Below are 26612 nucleotides of genomic sequence, written 5' to 3' on the forward strand. Positions count from 1 at the left end.
TTGCAACAGGATTTAAATTGGTTTTGTTATTGACTCCATTGTCACTTTCTGGTGTCTCCTTACTACCATTGGTGAGTATTCCAATTATTAAAATGTTTAAAGGGAGGAATTATCCCTGTAAAGAAGGTTCAAAAGGCAAATAAACAAAAAAATTTAGGAAACAGATACCAAGGGCCTTCATAAAATCACAAAATCAACCCAGCAAATATCTCACTATTTTGGTGAGTTTTTTACCTGTTTTAGGAAAGGAAGTTCTTTGCTAGATAATGAGGGGTTTGTGCCCTGCATTTTCTATTTTCTGGAATTCTCTAATATGCTAGATTTCAAGAAAATGACTCACCAATTCAGCCACCTTTACAGTTGTTGATGTTCATAACAATGTAAAATATGAGATCTTAACTTAGTCAAAAATTGAATCAAATATTATTCATTCTGGAATTAGGATGTTCGTGAATCACGCATCTATAGTGCAAATGTTGAGGCTATCAGATTATATATTCAGCTTTAATGCTCTTCTGTAGTTATATTGACCTAAAATAAAAGTTAAGACATGTTATTTTACAAGGAAAATCTGTGCAAATATCAGACAATAGTGAATTGTTCTGAATATTCTTTATTTGTTCCTATAGCTCCACTCTCTACCCTTCATGCTCTGCGAAGATGACCCTGTGGACTGCATCAATTGGGCCCCATTGACTTCTGACTTCCAATGAGAGGCACCAGTAGAAAATAGCCCCATTCATTTTCCTGCTTTCTTTACTGCTTGGATGTAAGTGGCAAGTTTCTGTTTTTCTATCAAAGGCCACAGTTTAGTCAGGCTCCTTTTTCATATATGTTTTGCTCTTTCTGGCTAACCACTCTTTGTTTCATTGTTTCTTCAAGCCAAGAATTGGTAATGGTGCCCTGATGTGGCTAATAATGGAATTTTTCAACATTCTTCATTGGTTTCCTCTAACCTAGACCATACTTTTGACACTAGCTCATTCATTTATTCTCTCCTTAATTACCTCATTGAAAATTTACCTGTTTTCTGCCAGGAAGCTAAAACAGTAATTAGTACCAGGAGTACCAGTTACTCCTGCTAACATCCTGTGTGATGGTTAATACTGAGTGTCAACTTGATTGGATTGAAGGATGCAAAGTATTCATCCTGGTGTTGCCAAAGCAGATTAACATTTGAGTTAGTTGGCTGGGAAAGGCAGACCCACCCTTAATCTGGGTGGGCACAATCTAATCAGCTGCCAGAGCAACTAGAATATAAGGCAGGCAGAAAAACAAAAAAAGACTAGACTGGCCTAGTCTCCCAATCTACCTTCTTTCTCCTGTGCTGGATGCTTCCTGCCCTCACTCATCAGACTCCAAGTTCTTAAGTTTTGGGACTCAGACTGGCTCACCTTGCTCTTCAGCTTGCAGACGGCGTATTGTGGGACCTTGTGATTGTGTGAGTTTAATACTCCTCAATAAACTCCCCTTCATATATATATATATGAAAGATATGTGTTTATAGATAGATAGAGAGATAGATATAGATATCTCCTATTAGTTCTGTCTCTGTAGAGAACCCTGACTAATACGTTGGGCAAACTCAAATATTTCAGGTTTGCACATAACTTGCTTACTAGGGGAAATGATCCACTAGTAATTCTTGAATGTGAGGAAAGAATAATAAAAATTATTACTAAGATGACATTGGGAGTTGGTAACACATTAGGAGATACACTGTGCTGATCAAGATATTTAGTTACTCTGGTGACAGCAGTATTACAAAGCTTGTAGAGTTCAGTAGGCTGTCATTTCAACCATATCCCAGGCAATTTACATCACTAATATTATGGATTTTGATGCATAGTACACGAAGAATTTCCATGGTTAAATAAGTTCAGAAGGGCTGCACCAAATTTAAACAGATTAAATTACTAGGCTATGGTTGAAAAACATCAAATTATAATTTTCAAAATATTTTTCAAACAAGTCTTACACGATTATAGTACAACCTGAAGAATGTCTATTAATTTTAGTCAACTATACTGAACTTATTTTATAAACTTCTCAAAAATTTATTTAACTTTTGCATGAAGAAACCAGTGAAATGGTAAAGCTGATTGAACTAGCATTTGTGTAACTCAGTAATTTATAACCACTAGAAATTAACATGGGAATGAAATTGTTAAATTACATATAAAACTAGTTAATACTCTATAAGTAATGAAACTGTAACCATAATCTTTGAGGTTATTTCTATCAGGAAAAATCATTTGCATAACTGTCACACAAAAATCTAGAAGTTGACCTATAATTACATAGAGTATGAACTCTAATTAAGAGTAAATGGCTGAGACAAGCACAAATGCATCTTCCTGAAAAGATGACTACGGTTTAGGTAGGCTTGTTAAACAATGCCCAAGGATGATATGAAAAGAACATACTCCCAGCTGGGCATAGTGGCTCACACCTGTAATCCCAACATTTTGGGAGGCCGAAGAAGAGCAGATCACCTGAGGTCAGGAGTTCGAGACCAGCCTGGCCAACATGATGAAACCCCATCTCTACTAAAAATACAAAAAAATTAGCTGGGTGTGGTGGCATGTGCCTGTACTCCCAGCCACTAAGGAAGCTGAGGCAGAAGAATCGCTTGAACCCAGGAGGCGGATGTTGCAATGAGCCTATCACACCACTGTACTCCAGTCTGGGAAACAAGAGTGAAAACACCATAAGAAGAAAGAAAGAAAAAGGAAGGAAGGAAGGAAGGAAGGGAGAAAGAAAGAAAGAAAGAAAAAGAAAGAAAGAAAGAAAAAGAAAGAAAGAAAGAAAGAAAGAAAGAAAGAAAGAAAGAAAGAAAGAAGAAAGAGAAAGGAAGGAAGGAAGGAAGGAAGGAAGGAAGGAAGGAAGGATAATGCCCTCACTTTGCCTACTTTCCAAGGTGTAAGGTTTTTTCCCCGTAACTATACTAAATGGCAACCATCATTTTTATTTTGATATTTAATCCAGTGTGATTTGCCTTATATTTTATATTCTCTGTAACCAGTGGCATATGGAAAGGGTTACTGGCATAAATGCATTATTGTTCACTATAAAGTAATAAACATGATTTAGGGGAAGAGTAATGGCTTCCAACAATTTATATCAGCTTACATGCTTATTTAGGAATACTTTCTAATTCTCATAGTGAAAATTCACATACACACACCTACAGCAGATTTGTTTTAATTATTAAAGCCTCAGAGTAGTATGGTAAAGAATAAAAGATACAAATTTTTATAAAATCTTCAATTCAGAGCCTCATACCTGAGATTCTGCATTCAAATGAGCCATTGAAAAATAAATTGGCTCTTAGGTGTCAAGAAGAACATTAGAAATTACCTTTATGTGCCATTTTAGAGTTCCACCTGCTCACTAGGAAACAAAATGTCAGGAAATAATGAATCAACATTATACATATTGAAGTTGAAAGATAGGAAATAGGATTCAGATCAAAGGTCTCTGAGGGACAAAACTTACAAATAAATGAATTTTTGACAGGACTCTTCCCTGTGGCATGTCAAACAACGGTCCGCTAAAGACGGTTGTGTTCTAATCTCTGGGACATATGAATCTGTTAAATTACATGGATAAAAGGAATTTAGGCTGCAGATGGAGTTAAGGTTGCTAGTCAGCTGACATTAAAGACATTATTCTGGATTATATGTTTAGTCCTAATTTAATCTCAAGGATTCCTATAACTGGAAGAGGGTGGTGAAAAGAGTCAGACTGATACCATATGAAAAGAGCTTGACCCGCTGTTGCTGATTTTCAAGATGGAAGAAAGAGGTCATGAGTCAAGAAAGGTGGGAGCCCTCTACAAACTAGAAAGACAAAGAAGTGGCTCATATTCAGAGCCCATAGAAAGGAATACAGCCCTGCTAACACCTTCACTTTAGACCAGTGAGACCTATGTTGGATTTCTAACCCATATAACTGTAAGCTAAATTTGTAGGTTTTATGCCATTCAATATAGGGTAATTTATTACAGCAACAATAGAAAATTAACACACTCCTCCAAACAGTAACCAACTAAATACAAATAAAATGAGATAGCATTTTTATCAAGTTTGTAAAAACTTGAAAGACTAACAATACTCATTGTTGAAAGAAATGTGGGGAAGGACAACTTTATGTTCCCATGTTATAATATTTTCTTGTGAGTGTAATTTGATATACCATTTGGGAATATGTGTATTTCAGTGAGAAGCTAAGCACCACACATATAGTAGCTCCTGTTCCATCACAGTGTCTACAGGACAATATACAAAAATGGCTGGTCTCACTACCTTTCCTCTTGTTTTCAAAATGGGAAAAAAGTCCTTGTAACACCAATAGAACTTTCCACTTGCATTTAAATTCCATTTACCTCACTCTCAGGAGGGCTTTGTCCCTTCAGTTCTTTGCTGTGCTTCCTGTGCTATCATTCTCTCCCTCTCTACTGATATCATCCTCATCCATGTCAAAATCTTTTACAGTTTTGCCTGCCTGTCTTAAAAAATTCTTTTTTTACACTACTGTTGCTCTTTTCCTAGCTCAAATTTGCTTCTCCTCAACAAAACCCTTCACAAAATAATTTTCTAGCCTGATATTTCAGCTTCTTTACCTCTCATTCACCATTTTTTAAAATTTATTTAATTTTGAAGTTTTAAAATATAATAATTTAAAAATTATTTAATATATACATGTAATTTTATGTAACTGCATAAATATAATCATATACTTGGTTTATTTCCCCCATAAGTGTTCTTTTCCTGGATTCTTTCCCCTTGTCTCCTTCATCCACATTAGCTCATTAAAAAAGAAAGCACAGCTGTGCCTGTGGGTCTATGTGTGTATATATACGTATATATACACACACATATACTTTATATATAAATATATATTTGCTGTATTTGCTGTAGACTAAATTTCCAGGAATAGGATTGTGATGGAAGGTATTGAAGATATATGCATTTTTTCTTTTTTTTTTTAATTATACTTTAAGTTCTAGGGTACATGTGCACAAACCTCTGCAGACTTAAATGTCCCTGTCTGACAGCTTTGAAGAGAGTAGTGGTTCTCCCAGCACGTAGTTTGAGATCTGAGAACGGACAGACTGCCTCCTCAAGTGGGTCCCTGACCCCCAGTAGCCTAACTGGGAGGCACCCCCCAGTAGGGGCAGACTGACACCTCACATGGCCGGGTGTCCCTCAGAGAAAAAGCTTCCAGAGGAATGATCAGGCAGCAACATTTGCTCTTCAGCAATATTTGCTGTTCTGCAGCCTCTGCTGCTGATACCCAGGCAAACAGGGTCTGGAGTGGACCTCCAGCAAACTCCAACAGACCTGCAGCTGAGGGTCTTGACTGGTAGAAGGAAAACTAACAGAAAGGAGATCCACACCAAAACCCCATCTGTACGTCACCATCATCAAAGACCAAAGGTACATAAAAACCACAAAGATGTGGATAAAACAGAGCAGAAAAGCTGAAAATTCTAAAAATCAGAGCACTTCTCCCTTTCCAAAGGAATGCAGCTCCTCGCCAGCAATGGAACAAAGCTGGACAGAGAATGACTTTGACAAGTTGAGAGAAGATATACGCATTTTTTTGTAGACATTTCTAGATTACTTCCTGAAGAGTCTATGATACTGTATTTCCACTAGCAACATATGAGCCCTTTCCCACACATCACTTTCAAGAAAAGGTGACATAGCACTTGTCGATTTTTACTAGTCTGATGGATACAAAGATTTATACAACTATTTTTCCTTTCACATTTTCTTGAGTAGGGTGAACATTTTTTCTCATACATTTATTTTTCAAATATTTATTGTTCTAAAGAGTTATTTAGTTTTATGTTTTGCCCACTTTTATTTATCAACTTGGTGCTTTGTCAATTATAGATATTAATACATTATCTTCTGTATTACATTTTTCTAGCTTTATTGGTAGTCTAATGGTTTTGTAATTGACTCTTGTACACATTAACAATTTTTATTATAGTTGAATATATCTAACTTTACCTTTGTAGGATTAAGAGTAAACTTGTAACCTTAAAATTTAGAGATTTCAAATTTAGCTAAGGTTTCCCCTTCCCACAGCCATTGGTACCATAAAATTTTATGAAATGTCCTATTTATTTTCTTCCTGAATTGACCTATCAAGAATACCATATATTGTGTTCTCATAAATTCAAGAATTTATTTATAGATTCTTCATTCTATTCCTCTGGACTACTTATTTATTTTGAGACACAGAGTAAATGATTTGATTGCATAGATTCATGATAATAGTATGATGTGATATTTAGTTAGATTAGTTCCCTTCTCACTACTCTTTTTTATTTATTTCTTGGTTAGTCTCTGGTGTTCTTCCATAGAAATGTAAACATAATTTTTTCCATTCAGATTCCATTAATATGCCTTTTAGGATTGTAATTGGAATGGCAACACATTTCTTGTTACTTTAGAAAGAATTGATATTTTTGCTAGCTAAAGTCTTCTCATTCAGAATTTGTTATTTCTTCCTATTGTCCATATTATCTATACATTTACATATGTATGTATTATCTGAATAGAATGATAATATTGAAAGATATATATGAAAGAATAGTCTCTTTCATAGAGTTCCTGGGCCATTTAATATTATCCAAAAGTGTTAATATTTCTCAAGAATGCTATAGTTTTGTTGCTATTCAAATGGAATATTATTTCACATTTCCATTTTAGATACTTTTTCACTGAATAGAGAGAGAGATACTATTGGCTTATGAATATTTATATTGAATCTAGCCACTAACCAAGGTCTCATTAATTTTTACTGTTTCTTGTTTCTATCACTCAAGTTTTTTATGCATATTATTAGCAAAAAAAAAAGAAAAAATGTTGCTATTGCAATTTTTCTGGTGATTACAACAGGAATTTACTATTTTAAGTAATAAAATGCCTTACTGCATTTTGTAAAATATCTTGGTAAGCAGTAACAATGAGAGATCTCTGCCAAGTTTCTGGCTTTATTTTGCACAGCTTTTGAATTTCAATAGGTAGCACAGTATTTGCTATTGCTTTGGGATAAAAATCAATTATCATGTTTATTTAAGAAATGTTTATTATGATTAAATTTTTATAGGAATGACTACATTTTGTGTTACCTTTTCAACAGTATCTGATATCATTTTCTTTAATTTGTTTATATTAATTTTTTATTATATGCTACTTCCTGACACTAAACTGTCCTTGTTTCCTGGTTTAAAGCTTTATTTTCTCATAGCATTATTCTTCTAACATCATGCTGAATTCCTTTTAGTAAGATTGAAATTATGGTTTTTGCATTCCTATTTTTAAAGGGTTTCTTAACTATCCTTCAGTGAGTTTTATTGTTTAAAATTGTTTCAAATTATTTATCCATCACCACAATCCTATAAATTAGTATATAGATTTTATTTTTTGAGCTACTTCTAATCAAGTTTTGTTAATACTGTCTGGCAGTTTTATCTCTTATGGCCAAGAGTTATTTAAGTAATATTAGAATTAGTGGATCTTTGGTCTTGATGTTATTTTTACTGATAGGACTTCAACAGATTGTTTTTAAAGATAAATAGTCAATTAGACATTTGATTTATTTAAGGTTAATTTGGTTAATTTTATTCTTTCAGAAAATTATCCATTTCCTCTGGCAAGCATTCATTCATTTTTCTCTCACCAAAAAATTGCATGTAGAATTATCTTATAATTATTTAATCACACCAATATCTCTTGCTTTTTGTTTTCTAAGCGTGTTTATTTTTGCCTTAATCTTTTATATTTTAATCAGGCTTATGCTTTTTAAAAGTGTATTTATCAATTTAAACTCCTGGTGTTTAGATTTCTTTATCCTTCCCATTATTTCTGCTTGCCCTCCAATTCATTATTATCAATTTATGTAATTGGTTGACAGCTGAACAATAATTAATCAATTCCTTCATCAAGATGATGAGAATTTTAACATAACAAAGCACTCACATACTTTAAAATAGTAGGGAGAATGATGAATGTGAGAAAGCAAGCTGTGATGAGTGGTGTAGATAGTGCACTGGGTGGTGGAATGAGTTGAAGGCAGGTGAGATGTAGAGAAGCCAGACTATGCAAATACATATAAATTATCAAGGATATTTACTTCATGCTAATAGCAAGGGGAAACCTATTAACGATTTCAAGCAGAAAATGGCATGATCCTATTTGTATTTCAAAAATATTTTTATTGATATGTGGGATATAGTTTTAACCTGTTGCAGGACTTCATGAAAATATAAGACTTCCTGGAAACCAGCCAAAATGTGATGATTTAACTAGTATGAAAGCTATGAAGATAGAAATGAGGTAATAGTTTTGAAAGTTATATAAAAAGTAAAACAAATACCACATATTTTGTGTACATATGTAGTTTAACAGAGAGAGAGATTCCAATAACAACTTTGAAATCTCTGGTTTCTGTGAAAGGATAGTGGTGGCTTCATTCTTGGAGAGGAAAGAGCTGGAAGACAAGGACAGAGAAGGAGTAGCACTCACTGTTTATGATCATGTTGAGTTTCCAATCCCCTTATTATAACCAACTAGAAAAAAGTAAGTAAAGCAGTTTGACATATGGATTTGGGTCTCACAGAAAAAAATCTGACTTGGAAATACACATTTGTGAAACATTATCACTAATGTTATCAATATGTATAATAATGAAAAGTTAAAATTAGATTGACAATTAATAGGAAATCAGTCGAATAAAAGATGATTATTCATGGAAACCATTTAGAATTATGATGGAAATCTGCATTTAATAACAAATTACTTTGCTGACATATTATTATCATTTGAAATAGTAAATTATGGAATAGTATGATCTGAAGTTTTGTAGTATTTCCTTATTTACAAACATTAGTTTTTAAATGGATATACAGAATTACATTCACTTGTAAGTCTTAATTAGCATTATTTGAATGACAAGGTATGATTATACTCCTTTGTATAATTAAGGTTCCTTCAAGGATTAGAAAAGTTGATTGCATTGGTTCAGACTCTCCTTGCAACTTAACTTTATTAAATTTCCAGTTTGACCAATGGAGGCAGTATATTCTGTACTAAATGCATTAGGATTAATTTTTCAATTTGACTCCGCTATCTACCCACTCTACAGTTATGGCATTTTTCTTAATCTCTATAAGCTTTCATTTTTTTTCATTTGTGGAGTAAGGATTAACTAACTTTAAAATATAGTAAAATATTGGGACATTTAGAATGTGATAGATAATCCCAAAACCAGAATAAACGTGATAGTGTTTTATTCTAGAGAAATGGAAACTGAACTTTAAAAGAAACTCAACACTAGTAAGTGATGAGACTGGAACTTGAATACAAGTCTCCTAAATCTTGTCTGGCACAGTAGCTGCTTTCTGAAGCTAATCAAAGTGATGCCCTATGTCCTTTCACCTTCACTGGCCCCATCCAAAGCCCTGGGAGTGGTCAAGCAGTGGGTCCACATAATAATGTTATTTATACATTTTGTGAAAGTATCTTAACTGCAAACATTTTATAATGCTAGGTTTTTTTTTCAACTTTAGCTATCACTCCATTACATTTTCCATGATGTTAGGTGTCAAGTGTCTTTGGAATGGTCAGGGACATTTTTGGCAATCAGCTAAGGGGTCATCAAGTTGGAAGTACATTTAGTTGGTCTCCAGAAATATATCGATATGATTTGCAGTCCCCTCTATGAGTAGTTACTGTGGCCATTTGGAAGCAGGAATGGCTTCAGATAATAAACTAATGACCTCTTTTTTTATTCATCACTTATTTAAAATTGTGCATTTTTTTTTCTTCAAAATTATACTGCAAATCATTTCAGGCTCTACAAAACCTGTCTAGTATTCTTTGTTCTACACTATGTTAAAAATAGCTTCAGTGAGGTCCTTCTCCTTATCTGTTCTTAAATCTAACAAATTAGATATAGAAAACAATCCCTTAATTATTATATATTGGATAACCCTATTTTTACATTACTATCCTAAGCATCATGGCTACAAAGAGGAATTCAACAAGATTCCTTCCTTTAAGATATCCAAATCTGAGAGAAAGAGATTTTAAAATAAAATAAAGCAATATAACATGATGGATGCTCCAACTGCAATGATATGATCAAAAGTCTATAGGAGCAACATAAAAGGAATCAGGAAATCTGCCCCAAAAGTTGTGGATGATTCAGAGTGAATGTCATATAAATTGAGGCAGAATAGGAGCAAAAGCCATTTAAGACAGAAAACAGTATTACCCAAGGCATGAAAGAATTATAAATAGGTGCTTTAAACACTGTTTAGGGAAATGGCTGAAAGTTTATAGATTTCTTTCATGAATTAGCTGGTTTATGTTTATTTGTGGTATGTACTAGACCAGACATTGATTCATTATACAATTATGATAATATCTATTTTATGATCAACAGGGTATCTAAGGTACTTGCATCTCTTTAAAAGAGAAATAAGAAGTATATATACAGTACAGGGAGGGGAAAATAAGCTTGTGTTTCTGAACTGTTTCAGTTCAATAATTAAAGGCAATCTCAATACCTGTCTTTGGAGAACTAACCTCTCTAGAAAAAAAGACTATTGTTTCCTGTACCATTGAAATAAAATTTCCAGTTTTCAGGAAACTCAATTGAAATAACTGTAGATTCTATGCTTGGCTAATCAAGAAATGTCATACTGAAACAATTTTATGTATTTATTTTGTAACATAAACCAACACGATGTACTTTGCAAATGATATTATGATTTAATTTTAGAAAATCATATTATCTCTTAATAATGAATTTTGTCATCTGCTTATGTCACACCTGGAGGCCTACTAGTATTAAAGGTTATATGTTTAAAGTAAGTATTTGAAAACAAAGTCACTTGAAAATGATTTTATCTTCATTTATGATTATCATAATTGCATACAACTGATGTTTCTGCCTCATTTACATAATTGTGAACAAGTGACATATTTCTATATTTCATTTGAAATACATTCTATTTTTCTATTCTCTAAGTAAATATTTCAATACAAAATTCTTCTTCTATGTCTGTCTATGATGAGATATCAGAAATAGTGGTTATGAACATGGAAACTGTTTTTTCTAAATCTTGAGCTTCTAAGCATCGTCAGATTTTCAGTGGCACTACAACAAACATACAAGCTGAATTGCATTTTTTATATATACTTACTTTTTATGTTGACTTTGTAGCCTTATTTTATGCCAAAACCATTTTATCTATATAAACCTGAATTCTATACCATCATAAATGGTGTAGCTTTTCACAGCAGTGCACTTCTGAGTATTCTATCGTCTTTGAAATAGTTACTTTACAAATTAAATGTTTGATATGGTAACTTTAGCTGACTCATGAATGAATTCATGCAAAATTATTTTAAATTCAAAGTGCAAGTGATTTTTGAAATCCATTTTGGAGATATAAAGCACTATAAAATTTTAAGATAGAGAAGCAAGTGTTTCTGCTCTAAGAACTTCCTTAAACACTGTCACATAAGCTGAACATTGTATCACCAAATTTATTGGGCTCTATTAATATGGTAGAGAACTGATACTGAAGTAGATATAGTCACCATACTGTGGATTCTCATTAGACAATGAATCCAGGCATATGTATTTTTCCAAGTTAAATTTCTTTCTTCTTTTTTTTTTTTTTTTTTTTTTTGAGACGGAGTCTCGCTCTGTTGCCCAGGCTGGAGTGCAGTGGCGCGATCTCGGCTCACTGCAAGCTCTGCCTCCCGGGTTCACACCATTCTCCTGCCTCAGCCTCCTGAGTAGCTGGGACTACAGGTGCCTGCCACCACGCCCAGCTAATTTTTTGTATTTTTAGTAGAGACGGGGTTTCACCGTGTTAGCCAGGATGGTCTCGATCTCCTGACCTGGTGATCCACCTGCCTCAGCCTCCCAAAGTGCTAGGATTACAGGCGTGAGCCACTGCGCCCAGCCAGAACTATATTTCTTATATAGTATAACTACACTGAATTTTTTCATGCTATTAAAACATTAGGCTGAATTAAATAAAACACATTTTTCCCCAAATAGTTTTTAAGATAAAAATGTGAGCCAGGTGCAGTGGCACACGCCTGTAATCCCAGCACTTTGAGAGGCCGAGGCGGGTGGATCACTTGAGGTCAGAAGTTTGAGACGAGCTTGGCCAACATGGTGAAACCCCATATCTACTAAAAATACAAAAATTAGCCGGGTGTGGTGGCACATGCCTGTAGTCCCAGCTACTCAGGAGGCTGAGGCAGGAGAACCACTTGAACCCGGGAGGTGGAGGTTGCAGTGAGCCGTGATTGGTTCAGTATTTTCCTGGATATGCCTGTGAGGGTGTATGAGTTCATTCTTACGCTGCTATGAAGAAATACTCAAGACTGGATACTTTATAAAGAAAAGAGGTTTAATTGACTCACAGTTCTGCATGGCTGGGGAGGTCTTGGGAACCTTACAATCATAGCAGAAGGCACCTCTTCACAGGGTGGCAGGAGAGAGAATGAGTGCCAGCAGGAGAAATGCCAGATGCTTATAAAACCATCAGATCTCGTGGGACTCACTCACTATCACGAGAACAGCATGTGGGAAACCGCCCCCATGATCTGATTACCTCCACCTAATCCTGCCCTTGACATGTGGGGATAACCATTCAAGATGAAATTTTGGGTAGGGACACAGTCAAACCATATCAGAGGGTATTCCTGGGTGAGAACACATTGGAATCAGTAGACTGAGTAAAGAATTGCCCTTCCTAATGTGGGTGGGCCTCATTCCACCAACTGAAGGCCTGAATAGAACCAAAAAGCAAAGTAAAAGAGAATTTGCCCTCTCTGCCTGACTACAGAGCTGGAACATCAGTCCTCTGCCTTCACACTAGGACTCAGACTAAAACTTACACTATCAACTCTCCTAGTTTTCAGGTGTTCAGACTCAGACTGGAGCTCTACCATTGGCTCTCCTGGGTCTCCGTTTTGCCAACTGGAGATCCTGGGATTCTGGGAGAGATGGGATTTTGTGTAACCTGTCTTAGCTTCCTTGGATTTGGGGCCTTAACAATACATGGTAATAAATCTTGTATTTGCTTGCCTTTATCTTTTCTGTATGCTTATCTCTCGGAAGGCTTACCTAATAAATTGTCTAGTCCAGTTCAAAAATGTTTATTTATATTTCAGTTGAGCATTATTGGTGCAATTATTAGTTAACTTAAAAAAAATCATAAGCTATAAGTTTAGAAAGAGGAAAGGAGGCTTTATTTCTTATAAAGGGCTACAGCCTGCATAGTGGCCATTCCACAGGTTGGAAAACATACCTTTAGCCAAGACCAGAGACACAGCCCTTGGAAGGAGAAGGTGTTAGGGTAGAAGCTATATGCTGAACAGGTTGGCCAAACATGCATATTCAATAGGGTACAGGAGGAGCTATGTATATTCATAAAGGTGGTCCTGACACATGCTTATTGAACAAACCTGCATGTAACATATGACCCCTGTTCATTTTAGGTTAGAGACTCAGCTCTTAGATGTATTAGGCCCTATATTTTAAAAGGTATTTTTAGGACACAAAGACATGCAAGTGCATAGCCTGTGTAAACCAGCCAGAACTAGCCCATGGTTGATGGTCTCCTTTCCAGGGGAAAGTTATTAATATCAATCTCTTATCCAGTCAGAGCTGTAGTTATGGCTGGTAGAACAGGGGTTTTGTTAGTGTCTGCCAGTGGATGTGCTGCATTTGTTTCAATATTGCTTATCTTGAGGCCAGTGCTTGTTTTGCGGTTAGAAAAAAAGAAAAAATCTTGTGGCAGTTACAACATAGTTTATTCTTTAAGTGTAGGGGTAGGTGACTTAACTCTTGCCGGGCATGGCCTTAGGTCCTATTTATAATTTGGTGTCTTATTGTTACAAAGAGTCTGCTTTGTCAGTCTTATAATTTCTATTTTAACATTAAAGCTCCTCACTTGTTGTGTCTAAACCACAAAAGGGAGAGGGTATAGCGAGGCCTGTTTGACCTCCTGTCCTGTTATGGCCAAAAACTCAGTTTAAAGGTTTGTTCTGGGGTTGCCTTGGCCAAGAGGTTGTCCATTTGGTCAGTGAGTAGGTGGGGGGCAGCCTTAGATTTTATGTTTAATTTGCATGCTACTGTAGGTGAATAAACCATGGAGTTTTAAGAATACTGTGTATGAATAAGCCTAAGTCTCAGAAAATGATGACAATTCACTCCGGATGATTTAAATTAAAAAGATCTAGCAGAACATGTCATTTCTTCCCACATTCTACTGGTCAAGTCAGGTTACACAGCAAAACCTGAAATGAATAGTGTCTGAAAATATACTCTACCATTGGGGAAATGTGTCAAGGGTAAAGAGGAAAATATAAATAAGGATGCAAATGACTACAAACAGTGCCCACCTATTTTTTCTATGTACAATTATAAACAAGTCAATGACTTGTAAATATGAGCTGATGCCTGTTGCCAAGAGTTTCTTTCTGGCACATGTACCAAGAATTGAAACTGTTTGACTGTCATGTGTATATTTCAACATCACAAAGTAGTGTTGATTGATTTGTTTTCCAGAATGGTTTTACCAATATACATCTTTTATGTCTGCCTGGAGTTTTTGTCAAACATCAGGGCAAAAATGACATGCTATTTCTTATTTTACTTGAATTTTCCATGAGTATGTATTCAGGTTGATCATTTTTTTTCAAATACATATTGCCCTTCTGACAAATTGATTGAAAATCAAATATGCTAGAAAGTAAAGAAGTTTCTTCAAAGAGTGAAAAAAATAAGACTTTATAAGCAATTTTAAACAGCTGACTATATTGTTGGCATCTAGTTTTATACATTTTGTAAATAATCAAACCCTTCCTAATGGTAAAAGAGTGGAGGCTCTGAGTAATTTGGCTATATCATTCTCGAGGAAAAAAAAATCAGGCACTAAATTTGCTTATTGCCTGGTAGTAGTTGATATTTCATCCCTCATTGATTCATCCCCAAAATACTCATTGAGCTCCCACTATGTGCCCATCAAGTTCTAACTGCTAAAAAAAGAGCAGTGAACAAGTAAATAACACAACCAAGCAGGATAACTTAAAGCCAAATAGATTTTAACATATAGTATGTAGAGGTGATAACTATTCTGGAAAAAAGATCTAAAAAAAGGAGATAAGGATTTTGGGGTTAGAGATGGGAGTAGAGACTCACAAATTAAATAGGCTGTCAGGGACAGCCTGATGACCTCAATGAAACCCTTGAAGAAGGTGAAGGGGTGAACAATTTAAAGATATGAAGAAAGAACTTTTCAAAAGTAGAAACAGTGCGAGGACCCTGAGGTGTAAATGTACCTGGTGTGGTCAAAGAATAGTAGGGTTGGAGCACAGGGGTAGAAGAGAAGAACCGTAGATGATGAGATTAAGGATATAATGATGATTAGATTCCAGTGAAGTATTTAATCTGGGTCATACTCATAGACTGAGTGAGATGGGAAGACTTTGGAACATTTTCAGCAAAGGAGTGAACTTATTTGATTTAAATGTTAACAGCATCTTTCTGGCTGTTGAGACGGACTATAGAATTACAAGGGTAGAAGCAAAAAGACCAGTTAGAATCATATTATGATAATGCAGGTGCATGATGAAGATGGTATGGACTAGTGGCAACAGTGGTGGTGGTGAGGAGTGGTCAAATAATAAAAATGTTCTGGAGGGAAAACCAACCTGATTTTCTAATGGCTTGAATATAAGGCATGATAAGTGTGAAGAAGCTAAAGGATAATGCTATGTGTTTCTGCCTGAGCAAATGCAATAACAGAATTGTCTATAATGAATAAAGGAAATGTTGAAAGAGAAGGACATTTAGGTAGAGATACTATGAGTTTGTTTTTATGTATTATAATTAAAATACCTGTTGAATATTTAGATAAAGATACAGTCGAGAGTTGGTTATATGCCATTTGAATTTTAGGGCACCATCCAGGATTGAGTTAAATAGAAAAGGGTTTCAAGGACCCTGCCATGAAGCATTTTAAGAGGTTCAGAAGAGGAACTGAGAAAGAAAATAGGGATGCAATAGCTAGTGAGATAATGGGACATTCATTAAATTTTACTGAGACTTTTTAAGTTTGTTGAAAGGCCAAGTAGTGATGTCATGGTTAAAATAATCTAATTTCCAGTTGCTTTCAGAATCAGTGTTTATTATTTATCCTAAGAGTCCAGAAAACTCTCTCCCCTACACAACTTTATCCTACCTAATTATGTATTATACTTGCATCTCTTCTACTTCATCCTTCTCTTCCACTTCCTCTGTCACTACTCAGTAAAATGATGCCTTTCTGTCTTTTGTTTATTATGTCTTTTTCCAGCTCTGACAAATTCTTTCAAAAAGTTATTCATTTGCACTTATCATAAGGTAGCCAAGGTTAATAACTTCTTTAAAGCAATTCTAGAGTTCTTTTTATTTACACAGGAACATACACACCACAGCAGCACACATTTAATTCCATACTTTATTTTTAATCTACTAGTTTAGGTTTCCTAAAGACAATTTGCCTCTCCAGCATGATAGAAAGGACCACTGCTTTGCTTTGCCTTAAGAAAGTATAGTAACATTACTTTGAATTAAATGAAATCTCTTTGCCTCACTGCTCATCCACGGCCTGCACATGAGCTTCACATGTGTTATTTTAGTGTGTGGCTTTTCACAATTTATTATATAGATAAATGGCCTTGAGTTCCTGTTTACTATTACTGTTTAGCCCCAAGAGCTGACAAAACGATGACCATTTGTTCACCTTCAATCTCCAATCTTTCTCTCATTTTATTTCCCTCCTCAACGCTACTCTTACATTCAATATAGGAGTTGGATTTTATTTCCCTCCACAACTCTACTCTTATACTCAATATTCAAACATATTTTTATTAGGGATACCCCATTATTAAAGTCTAAAATTAGTAAAGTAGAGGTAAAAAGGTATTTTCAGTAATTTTTATATAAAATTTTTAAAATACTTGCATACATATCATGTTATTGCTTAGATATTTAAGTGGACCAAGATTTCTCAGTCTTTTGGCCCAGGGACATAGACACATTCATTTATTTTCCTCGGTCACTTATTATGAGATTCTATGAGACTGGAATTCTTTATCAGAACATAATCTGTTACCTGAATTTGAGAGAATCACGATCAGTTACCTTGTCCTCTGTTTTTTCCCCTAAGTTTTAATTCAAGGATAACGATCAAAGTGCAGGTGGTTTCCTGTAGATTAATGATCATTCAGGAGAAATCCGTGTCCCTGGGACAAATGTCTAATCATTAATCCTATAGAAATGTAAGGTACATAACACATTATCATCACCATCAACTGGCAATTCTTTTTTCGCTCAAGTAATTGCTTACTTTATTTCAAGCTGATGAAAGCTCTAAGGTGGATATTTTGTAGGCAGACGAGCTCTGTTAATTTACTAACCAAAGAAATATCAGATAAGGAAAAAAAATCCTGACCAGTGAGTTGTATAAATTTGACTCAAAGGAAAGGAGTTTTAAATTCAGGTAAGTACACTGTTGAAGGAGAGCATGTTAAATGTTCTCTATTGCCTGCCAGGCTTGTATGTTTGGGGTCGCTGCTTATTTTTTAATGAATGTGTTGTTTGTCAAAAAATATTTTGATTCTTTATTAGATTTTATCAGATTAACTATATCTAATTTATAATGCCCTAAAATGGCAAATTTACTTTGGGAATAAGCTTAGGTCAACTTTACAAGGAACAGGCCCTTTTTCTGGGTGGCTGGTCAGTTGATGTCCTGAAATTAGAAGTGAAATCAAACTTTCACATCATAACACAAATATTTTCAAATAAAAATATAAGGGTACATGTGGAAAACCACTCCATGCTTTCTTTTATCCACCATGCAGCTACTGAATACCTAGTAAGTTCTAGGCACTCTTCTAGACACAGGGAAGATGGCTGTGAAAAAGAAAGTCACTAATGTCCTCTGCTGTGTACATCATTGTTAAAAACAATGGCTTAAATAATAAACACATTAATAACGTAGAAAACACTGCAAGGGAATGAAAAGTTCCATATGTCAAATCAAAGTGCCATGTATAAAACCAAATCAGGAAGTGATTTATGGTGGAGTGCAATCCTAGATAGGTGGATGAGAAAGGGTTTTCTGAGATGACGTTTGAGTATTCCTAAAGGATGTGAATGAGCAGGCCATGTAAAGGTATGAAGTAAAAGGTTTCAGGAAGATGGAGCAACAAGTACAAAAGCCCTAAGATGATAAAATATTTGGCATAGTCAATGAATAAAAAAATAATGTTAGCCAGTTGGAGCAGAGTAAGCAAGGGGAGCGTGTTGGAGATGACTTTGGATGGACAGACTGTGGAAGATTATTTAAACCCTTGGACACCACAGTAAGAGTTTGATTCTTCTTCTGCGTCTTATGGGGAGCCATTAGAGAGTTTTCTGTAGGGTACAACAGAAAATCTTTTTAAAAAATATTTTTCTGGCTGCTGACAAAGATTGTCTCCTTGTCTAAACTCTAGTCAGGCTCCTCTGAGTCCCCTTCTTGAGTAAGCCTCAACCTTGGCCTATTAAACTACAGACTCTCAGCACAAATGATTTTGTCCACACCTTGCCTCCCCTAACCCACACACACATACACACACACTAAGAGACATGAACAAACACAAGCACAATTTCTGGTAGTTCAAGATATGTCCTTAGGAGGACAAAGTGAGCTCCCTTAAGCACCCTGTGGGAAAACTAAGTTTGCTAAAAGAATATAAAGTTTGTTCCAGCTAACACCTGAAGACAGGGTCCTTGTCTCAGCTTCTGTGGAAGAGCAGCAGCCTAACTCTACAATAAAGAGCCAGTTCGCAAATGCACATGGCCTAATCACATTGGTGAACCCCTGCTTTTTGCTTTTTTAAAATTCCCATTTTCGGCCAGGCGTGGTGGCTCAGGCTTGTAATCCCAGCAATTTGGGAGACTGAGGCGGGTGGATCACAGGTCAGGAGATGGAGACCATCCTGGCTAACGCGGTGAAACCCATCTCTACTAAAAATACACAAAAAGTAGCCGGGCGTGGTGTCAGGCGCCTGTAGTCCCAGCTATTTGGGAGGCTGAAGCAGGAGAATCACTTCAACCCGGGAGGCAGAGGTTGCAGTAAGCCGAGATCATACCACTGCACTCCAGCCTGGGCGACAGAGCAGGACTCTGTCCCAAAAATAAATAAATTAATTAATTAATTAATTAATTAATTTAATTTAATTAAAAATAAAAATACCATTTTCCTGATGCTGCTCAGGCCCCAGCAGAGACATTGCTGTTGCTGTTCCCTATTCCCTCATTCTTCCTTTAAAATGTCTAGTCATTTTTGCACAAATCCAAGTTGAGTTCAGCTTATGCTGTACTCTCTTCCTTGTTGCAATAGTAATTACTGCATAAATCTATCCTTACCACCTTAGTGTTTGGCTCTGTTTATCTCTGACATTGTTTGAAGGACAAAATAACTGTAAGGAAGTAAGCATTGCATTAGACACAACAAGAAGCTGATGAGGTAGTCTAAGAAAGACTGATAAAAGTTATAATAGTACAAGTGGTGGAAAGGCTCTAGATCTTGATGTATGTTAAAGAAAAAACGGACAGAATTTGATGATGAATTGGATAAGAAAAAAGTTCATGCTTTTATTTTTTACATATTTTTATTGTCCATAGAATTTTTGCACTGAATAGAAAATATTACTTTTAATTTTGTTAAAGTATAATTTACATGACTTTTTTTTTTTCCTTTTTTTTTTAGACAGAATCTTGCCCTGTCACCAGGCTGGAGTGCACTGGCATGATCTCGGCTCACTGCAACCTCCGACTCCCTGGTTCAAGCAATTCTCCTGTCTCAGCCTCCAGAGTAGCTGAGATTACAGGCATACACCACCACCCCCAACTAATTTTTGTATTTTTGGTAGAGACAGGGTTTCACCATGTTGGACAAGATGGCCTCGATATCCTGACCTCATGATCCGCCCACCTCGGCCACCCAAAGTGCTGGGATTACAGGCATGAGCCACCACGCCTGGCTTACATGACATTTTAATAAATAAATGTATAACCCACATTCCATTTTTTTTAAGACAGTCTCTGTTGCATAGGCTGGAGTGTAATGGCGTGGTCTAGGGGCTCACTGCAACCTCTGCCTCCCCGGTGCAAGTGATTCTCCTGCCTCAGTCTCCGGAGTAGCCAGGACTACAGGCGCCCGCCACCATGCCCTGCTAATTTTTTTGTATTTTTTGTAGAGACGGGGGTTTTACCATGTTGACCAGGGTGGTCTCAAACTCCTGACCTCAAGGGATCCACCTGCCTTGGCCTCTCAAACTGCTGGGATTACGGGCATGAACCATTGCGCCCAGCCTTGTAACCCACATTCTTAGAAACATTTCTATCACCCTTATATGTTCCTTTGTGCTCCTTGTCTTCCCCAGCTCCCACCCCAAACAAGTAGACAACCACTTTTCTAATTTCTTTCACTATTTATTAGGTTTACCTCTCTTAGAACTTCATATGAATTGAATCATAAAGTAGATACTCTTTTATATGTTTTCTTTCATTGAGCATAATTTTTTGAGATTCATCCATGCTGTTTTATGTTTTAGTAGTATATTTGATTTTATTGCTGAGTGTTATAGACTAAATATGCATTTCCCTCCAAAGGGCATGTGTGGTGGACTTACACCCCAGGGTCATGGGATTAGGAAGCAGGACCTTTGCAAAGGAATTAGGTTTAAATAAAATCATTGAGAGTGAAACCCCCATGATGGGATTAGTACCCTTATAAGAGAAAGAAACCTCAGAACTTCCTCTTTCTTCCATGTGAAAAAATACAGCAAGAAGGCAGACATCTTCGAGCCAGGAAGAGGACCTTTTCTGAAAACTCAACCATGCTGCCATCCTGATCTTCATCTTTCCAGACTAGAGAACTGGGATAAATACGATCTCTGTTGTTGTAAGTCAGCTAGTCTATGGCCTTTTGTTATAGCAGCCTGAACTAAGATGCTGGGTCTAATTACATGGTATGGATTTAACACAATGTGTTTATCCATTCTTTCTTTGACAGACATTTAAATTGTTTCTAGTATGGGCTTAATATGAATAAAGATGTTATAAACACGTTGTATAAGTCTTTTCTTGTACATGTTTTAATTTTTCCTTTGTAAATATATAGATGTGGAGTTGTCAGGTCATAGGGCAAACATACATTTAACTATATGAGAAACTATCAGAATTATTTCCTAAGTGGTTGTATTGTCACTCACCAGCTATGTATGAAAGTTTCAGTTGTTTCACATACACAAACACCTGATATTGCCAGATCTTCGAATTTTAGCCATTCTTTTAGGTGAGAAGGATTATCTTATTGTGGTTTTAATTTGCATTTCAGTGATGACTAATGTTGAGCATTTTTTTCATGTGCTTTGAGACATTCATATTCCTTTCATTTGTGCCCACTTATATCTGTTGCATATTTACTCAGTTGTTGTCTTTTTAGCATTGAATTGTGGGTTATTTACATATTCAGAATAAAATCTTTAATCACATATATATACTCTAGCCCAAGGGCCCCCAACCCCCAGGGCCGCAGACTGGAACTTGTTCGTGGCCTGTTAGGAACTGGGCCGCACAGCAGGCGGTGAGCCATGGGCGAGCAAGCATTACCACCTGAGCTCTGCCTCCTGACAGATCAGCGGTGGCATTAGATGCTCATACGAGAGTGCACACTCTTGTGAACTGCACATGTGAGGGATGTAGGTTGCGCGCTCCTTATGAGAATCTAACTAATGCCTGAAGATCTGAAGTGGAACAGTTTCATCCCTTAACCATCCCTCCCCCACTATCACTCTCATGGAAAAAGTACATTTCACAAAACTGGCCACTAGTGCCAGAAAGGTTGAGGACGGCTGCTCTAGCCCATATTCTGTCAAAAAAACTTTACCCACTCCAAGTTTATTAAGATAGTCTCTTCTTTTCTCCTAGAAGATTATTTCTTTTAACTTTTATATTTAGGTATATGACCCATCTCAATTTAATTTTTGTGTTTGATATGAAGTCTGGTCAAGTTTTATGTTTTATAGATATCCAATTTTTCTGTGCCATCTGTTCAAAGGACTTTCTTATTCTCATTAAATCACTTTAACAACTTTTGCCAAAAGTTAATTGATTATGTAATTAGGGGTTTATTGCTGCATTCTCTGCTTTCTTTCATTGATCCATTTGTCTACATTTAAGCCAATGCAACAGGGTTTGCTATAGGGTTATGGTAATCCTGAAATAAGTAGTGTACATTCTCCAAGCAATCTTTTGCAAGTTTATCATCTAGTCAATTATTTCTTCTTCTGGCTCCTCCACAACTAAATCTCTTGGACTTCTGTCCCCCATGGGCGGAATATCTGAGCATTTCTTCACTTTTCCTAACAGAAAGACTCACATAGTCATTCTCTTTCACTTATAAAGGCCTGTAATCTTTATCCATGTAACTATTTGGGTAACAGAAGACAATGTCTAGACTCAGGCTTACTTCAAGAGGCACATCTGAGGTTACCAGCCTCGAGATTTAAATGTAGAGTGGAAAATAGAATATTCTTTTGTATTAAGTCCAAGCCGAAGTTTTTAATTGGGCTTTAAGGTTTCCTTGCACTGGGAGTTGCTGGGTGCTTACACACAGAAGTAAAATTGACATCTATTTTCTGCATCCCTTGTGAGTGTTACCAATACACTACAAATTAGAAACCTATAGAGGACAAGAAGGGAGAGGCATCGTGATTCCTCTCTTCTGCTGAATCACTGCAGAATTCAGTAGTTTGGTGTTTTTACCATAACATAATTTTCAGAGCAATATTATTGGAAGATTTCCTTAGAAATAAACAAAAAAAAAGAGATAACTTTCACACAAACATCATGGAATATTTTTTAATGTTTTGTGGCTTCCTGTATAATTCTCTTCTAACAATAATTGAAAATCTAATTTCAACTAATTTGTTTTCAATAGAAAACATAGGGAACTTCTGCTGAGAACAGGATAAAACTTTATTCATTTATTTGCAAATGCACATATAAAGCTTAGAATGGTTTTGCTATTGGTAACATGAACTATCTTTGACAGACATTTAAAGTGGAGAAGTAAAGTAGATTAATTTAACTCAGCTTTTCTCCCATTCCAAACAGATTGATCTTCAATAAACAGAAAATGGAAACCCTAAAACAGTACCATTATCCACTTAGAATACAGCAGGCTGAAACCAGCAACAAAATGAAGATATATATTTCCAGCCTATATTTTGAGCATCGTGGAACTTTCTGGATGCAGCACAAACCAGGGGGGAGTTACCATTCTGTAGGAATTGTGGCCAATGTGGATAAAGAACTACCACTGAAAAGATGGAAGCCTACAGAACAGACCAAAAGATAAATGTTCTCTGAGTTTCTAAAATGCTTAGATGGGTTTCATGACTTTTGCACCTTCTGAAACTGAATTTTCTATTAATGAAACCACAAAAATAATATGATATTTTTGGGAGTTTATACTCAAAGTTGGCTAACAATAATGAAGTGGAATGGAGACACTTAGGGACTCTATTATAGATGGCATGACAGGAATAGATAGCATAAATAATTGGTATCTTTAAACTCCTGAGGCCGACTCTAAACAATATCTTTCATATCTATGTTCTCCTTCTTTTAAATCCATGTATTTCATAAGTCCTGATAACTTAAATGATTGAATTCCACAAAGGTGTCCTGACTCAGCTCACCCTCTCCTGGAGGTGTTAATGAACAGTGAAACAGTGACGAAAACAGTAGCAGAGTGAATAAAGGAGCTGATGGGAACAAAAGATTGTGTTTTGTTTATTTGATCTTTAAAATATAGAGTATTGATATTGTCATAATAAAAGCTAAGGCATAGAATGCATTTAATCCTATACATTTTCCACTTGGCTTTCAGTGATGCATAAGACTTACTAAGATTGGCATACTATATAAAGGCCTCAAAAGGAGGTATGTACTGTGTTAAGTTCTTTGCATGCATTATCTCTAGTCGGTCCTTAAATGGTGAAGCTGTACAGTGTAGGAAAGATACAGTATAAGGTAATGATTAAAAACTTACCCTAGAGGCAGATACCTGGATTAGAATCCTAGTTCTTCCACGTATTTGCTGTATGATTTTGAGCAAGCTACTTAAATTATATTCTCTTCAGCATTTTTTTTTGTAAAGTAGAGGTAATAATGTTTATCATTCTGGGCATTTGTAAACTTAAATATATTTTTAAATAAAGAATGCTTAAAACATGCTTACTACAAAATGAACCCTTAGTAAATTATGTACAAATGTAATAAGTTGGATACACTTAAAAGGGTTAATTATAATTCTTAAGTTCTCACAGTTTTAGTGGTGAAAATGGGCCAAAAACCAAGATCTGATTTAAAAGTGAAAGTTCACGTTGAATGCATATCCTATATACTGTCACTTTCCTTTCATCTAATTAAGTATTTAGAACAAATGATTATATTTGCAGAATACATCTGTAGAGTAATGTTTTAAAAGAAACAAATGCCTCTGCCATGCTAGTTGACAAATGATATTTTAGCAAGGTGATGCCTAGAAAAGATGCTCTAATATTTGCAATAATCCCAAGGCAGCTTTTAACTCATAAATGAAAATGGCTTTCCTCTGTAGAAAACTTGTCAAGTAACTGATTATTATTATCTTGTAAAGGCCAGTTGATGTCTTCCTCATTCATAGCCCAACAATGTTCCAAGGAGGAAGAGGTCATTTAGAGAGAAACCTGAGACACTAATCAAGTTGACTACAAGTGACTTTTTTCCTCAACATCTCTTTCTTCATGTATTTTTTTAAAAAAGGTTTTAACTAGATTATCACTAAAATCTGTTACAGGTGTTTTTCCAACTGCATACCATTACTATCAGGGGAGAAAGGAGGGGAGATGATGAAAAAGCATCTAGCTGTTCTGGCAAAATTACCCAGATCACATACCTAACCCAACTTGTGTATTATTACTTAATGTTTAACAAGAGGGAGCAAAGATGTGTCAAATTAATTGTCTAATAATAATCTTACATAAGACATAAGATGACATAAGACAAAGACTACATTCATAAAGGAAATAATGAACCCTCATATTTATAAAAAGCTTTAGTTTAAAGTACTATGTAATATGCAAAGACACACAGAGCGGTATATTAGACACTGAGACTCAGAAGAGGGGAGCATGGGAGCAGTTGGAGGGATCAAAAGCTATTTATTGGGTACAATGTACACTGCTCGGGTGGCAGTTGTACTAAAATTTCAGACTTTACTGCTATATAATTCATCCATGTAACCAAAACCACTTGTATCCCTAAAACTACTGAAATAAAAAATTAAAATAAAAAATAAAATCAAGTGTTACATATTGAACATTGAATTTACAAAAACCTTACAAAGTAGCTGTTATTACTGTCTTTACAGCAAAGGAAAAGAGCACTTTCAGCAATTTTAAGGTGTCTAATGAAAGAAATCATTTTAAGAATTTAAGGCCAGGCGCGGCGGCTCACGCCTGTAATCCCAGCACTTTGGGAGGCTGAAGCAGGCGGATCACGAGGTCAGGAGATGGAGATCATCCTGGCCAACACGGTGAAACCCCGTCTCTACTAAAAATACAAAAAAATTAGCCGGGCGTGGTGGTGGGCGCCTGTAGTTCCAGCTACTCGGGAGGCTGAGGCAGGAGGATGGTGTGAACCCAGGAGGCGGAGTTTGCAGTGAGCCGAGATCGCGCTGCTGCACTCCAGCCTGGGTGACAGCAAGACTCCGTCTCAAAAAAAAAAAAAAAAAAAGAATTTCAATCAAGTCTTTGATTCTAAGTCCAAAATTTGGTTACTACACCATAGCTATGTGTCTGTTAAGTTAGCATCTTCGTGCTCTATAATGTTTTTCTATCTCTTTGCATTCATTTTTCTTTTAAAAAAGCAACAAAAAGTTTGAGTCTATATATTTATGTTATACAAAATACCATTATGATATAGAAATGCAAAATTAAATGAGAAAGAATATTCTCTAAAGGTTAATGGTGCAAGAATGGATCCTGATTTAGATCCTGGCTTTACCACTTACTTAGTTGGGTCAAACTGCTTAACTTCTGTATGTCTTAAGAACTTCACCTGTGAAACTTAGATCATAACTCTATCGCTTAGGGCTGTGAGAACTCAGAAACACATATCATAAAATGCTCACATAACATTCCAAAACGGGTCCCCTTTTTGTGATTCATTCATTTATTTGAAAAATGCATATGTCCTGAATAAGTGGGACAAATAAAAGATGTAAATCATTACTCATTCTCATAAAAAATAGTTGTAAGCCTAAATACAAGTTGGGCCATATGAGTGGTATAGAAACATCGTAGAGTTGTATAAATTGAGAGGATACTTAATTAACATTTAAGAAAAAAAAAGCTTGTTGTTACTTAAGTACATTATGGCATAAATCTGCAATGATTAATTGCTTACTA

At 35.7% G+C, this 26612-nt stretch overlaps 1 long non-coding RNA gene across 1 annotated transcript; it reads left to right on the forward strand.

Moving 5' to 3' along the window:
• Positions 1-629: 629 nt before the first annotated feature.
• Positions 630-23939, forward strand: LOC124900849 (uncharacterized). The gene is made up of 2 exons (XR_007058446.1): positions 630-769; positions 23272-23939. It is a non-coding gene; the product is annotated as an uncharacterized LOC124900849 (long non-coding RNA).
• Positions 23940-26612: the final 2673 nt, after the last annotated feature.

Source organism: Homo sapiens, chromosome 4 (assembly GCF_000001405.40).
Source record: "Homo sapiens chromosome 4, GRCh38.p14 Primary Assembly".
Classification (NCBI taxonomy): Eukaryota; Metazoa; Chordata; class Mammalia; order Primates; family Hominidae; genus Homo; species Homo sapiens.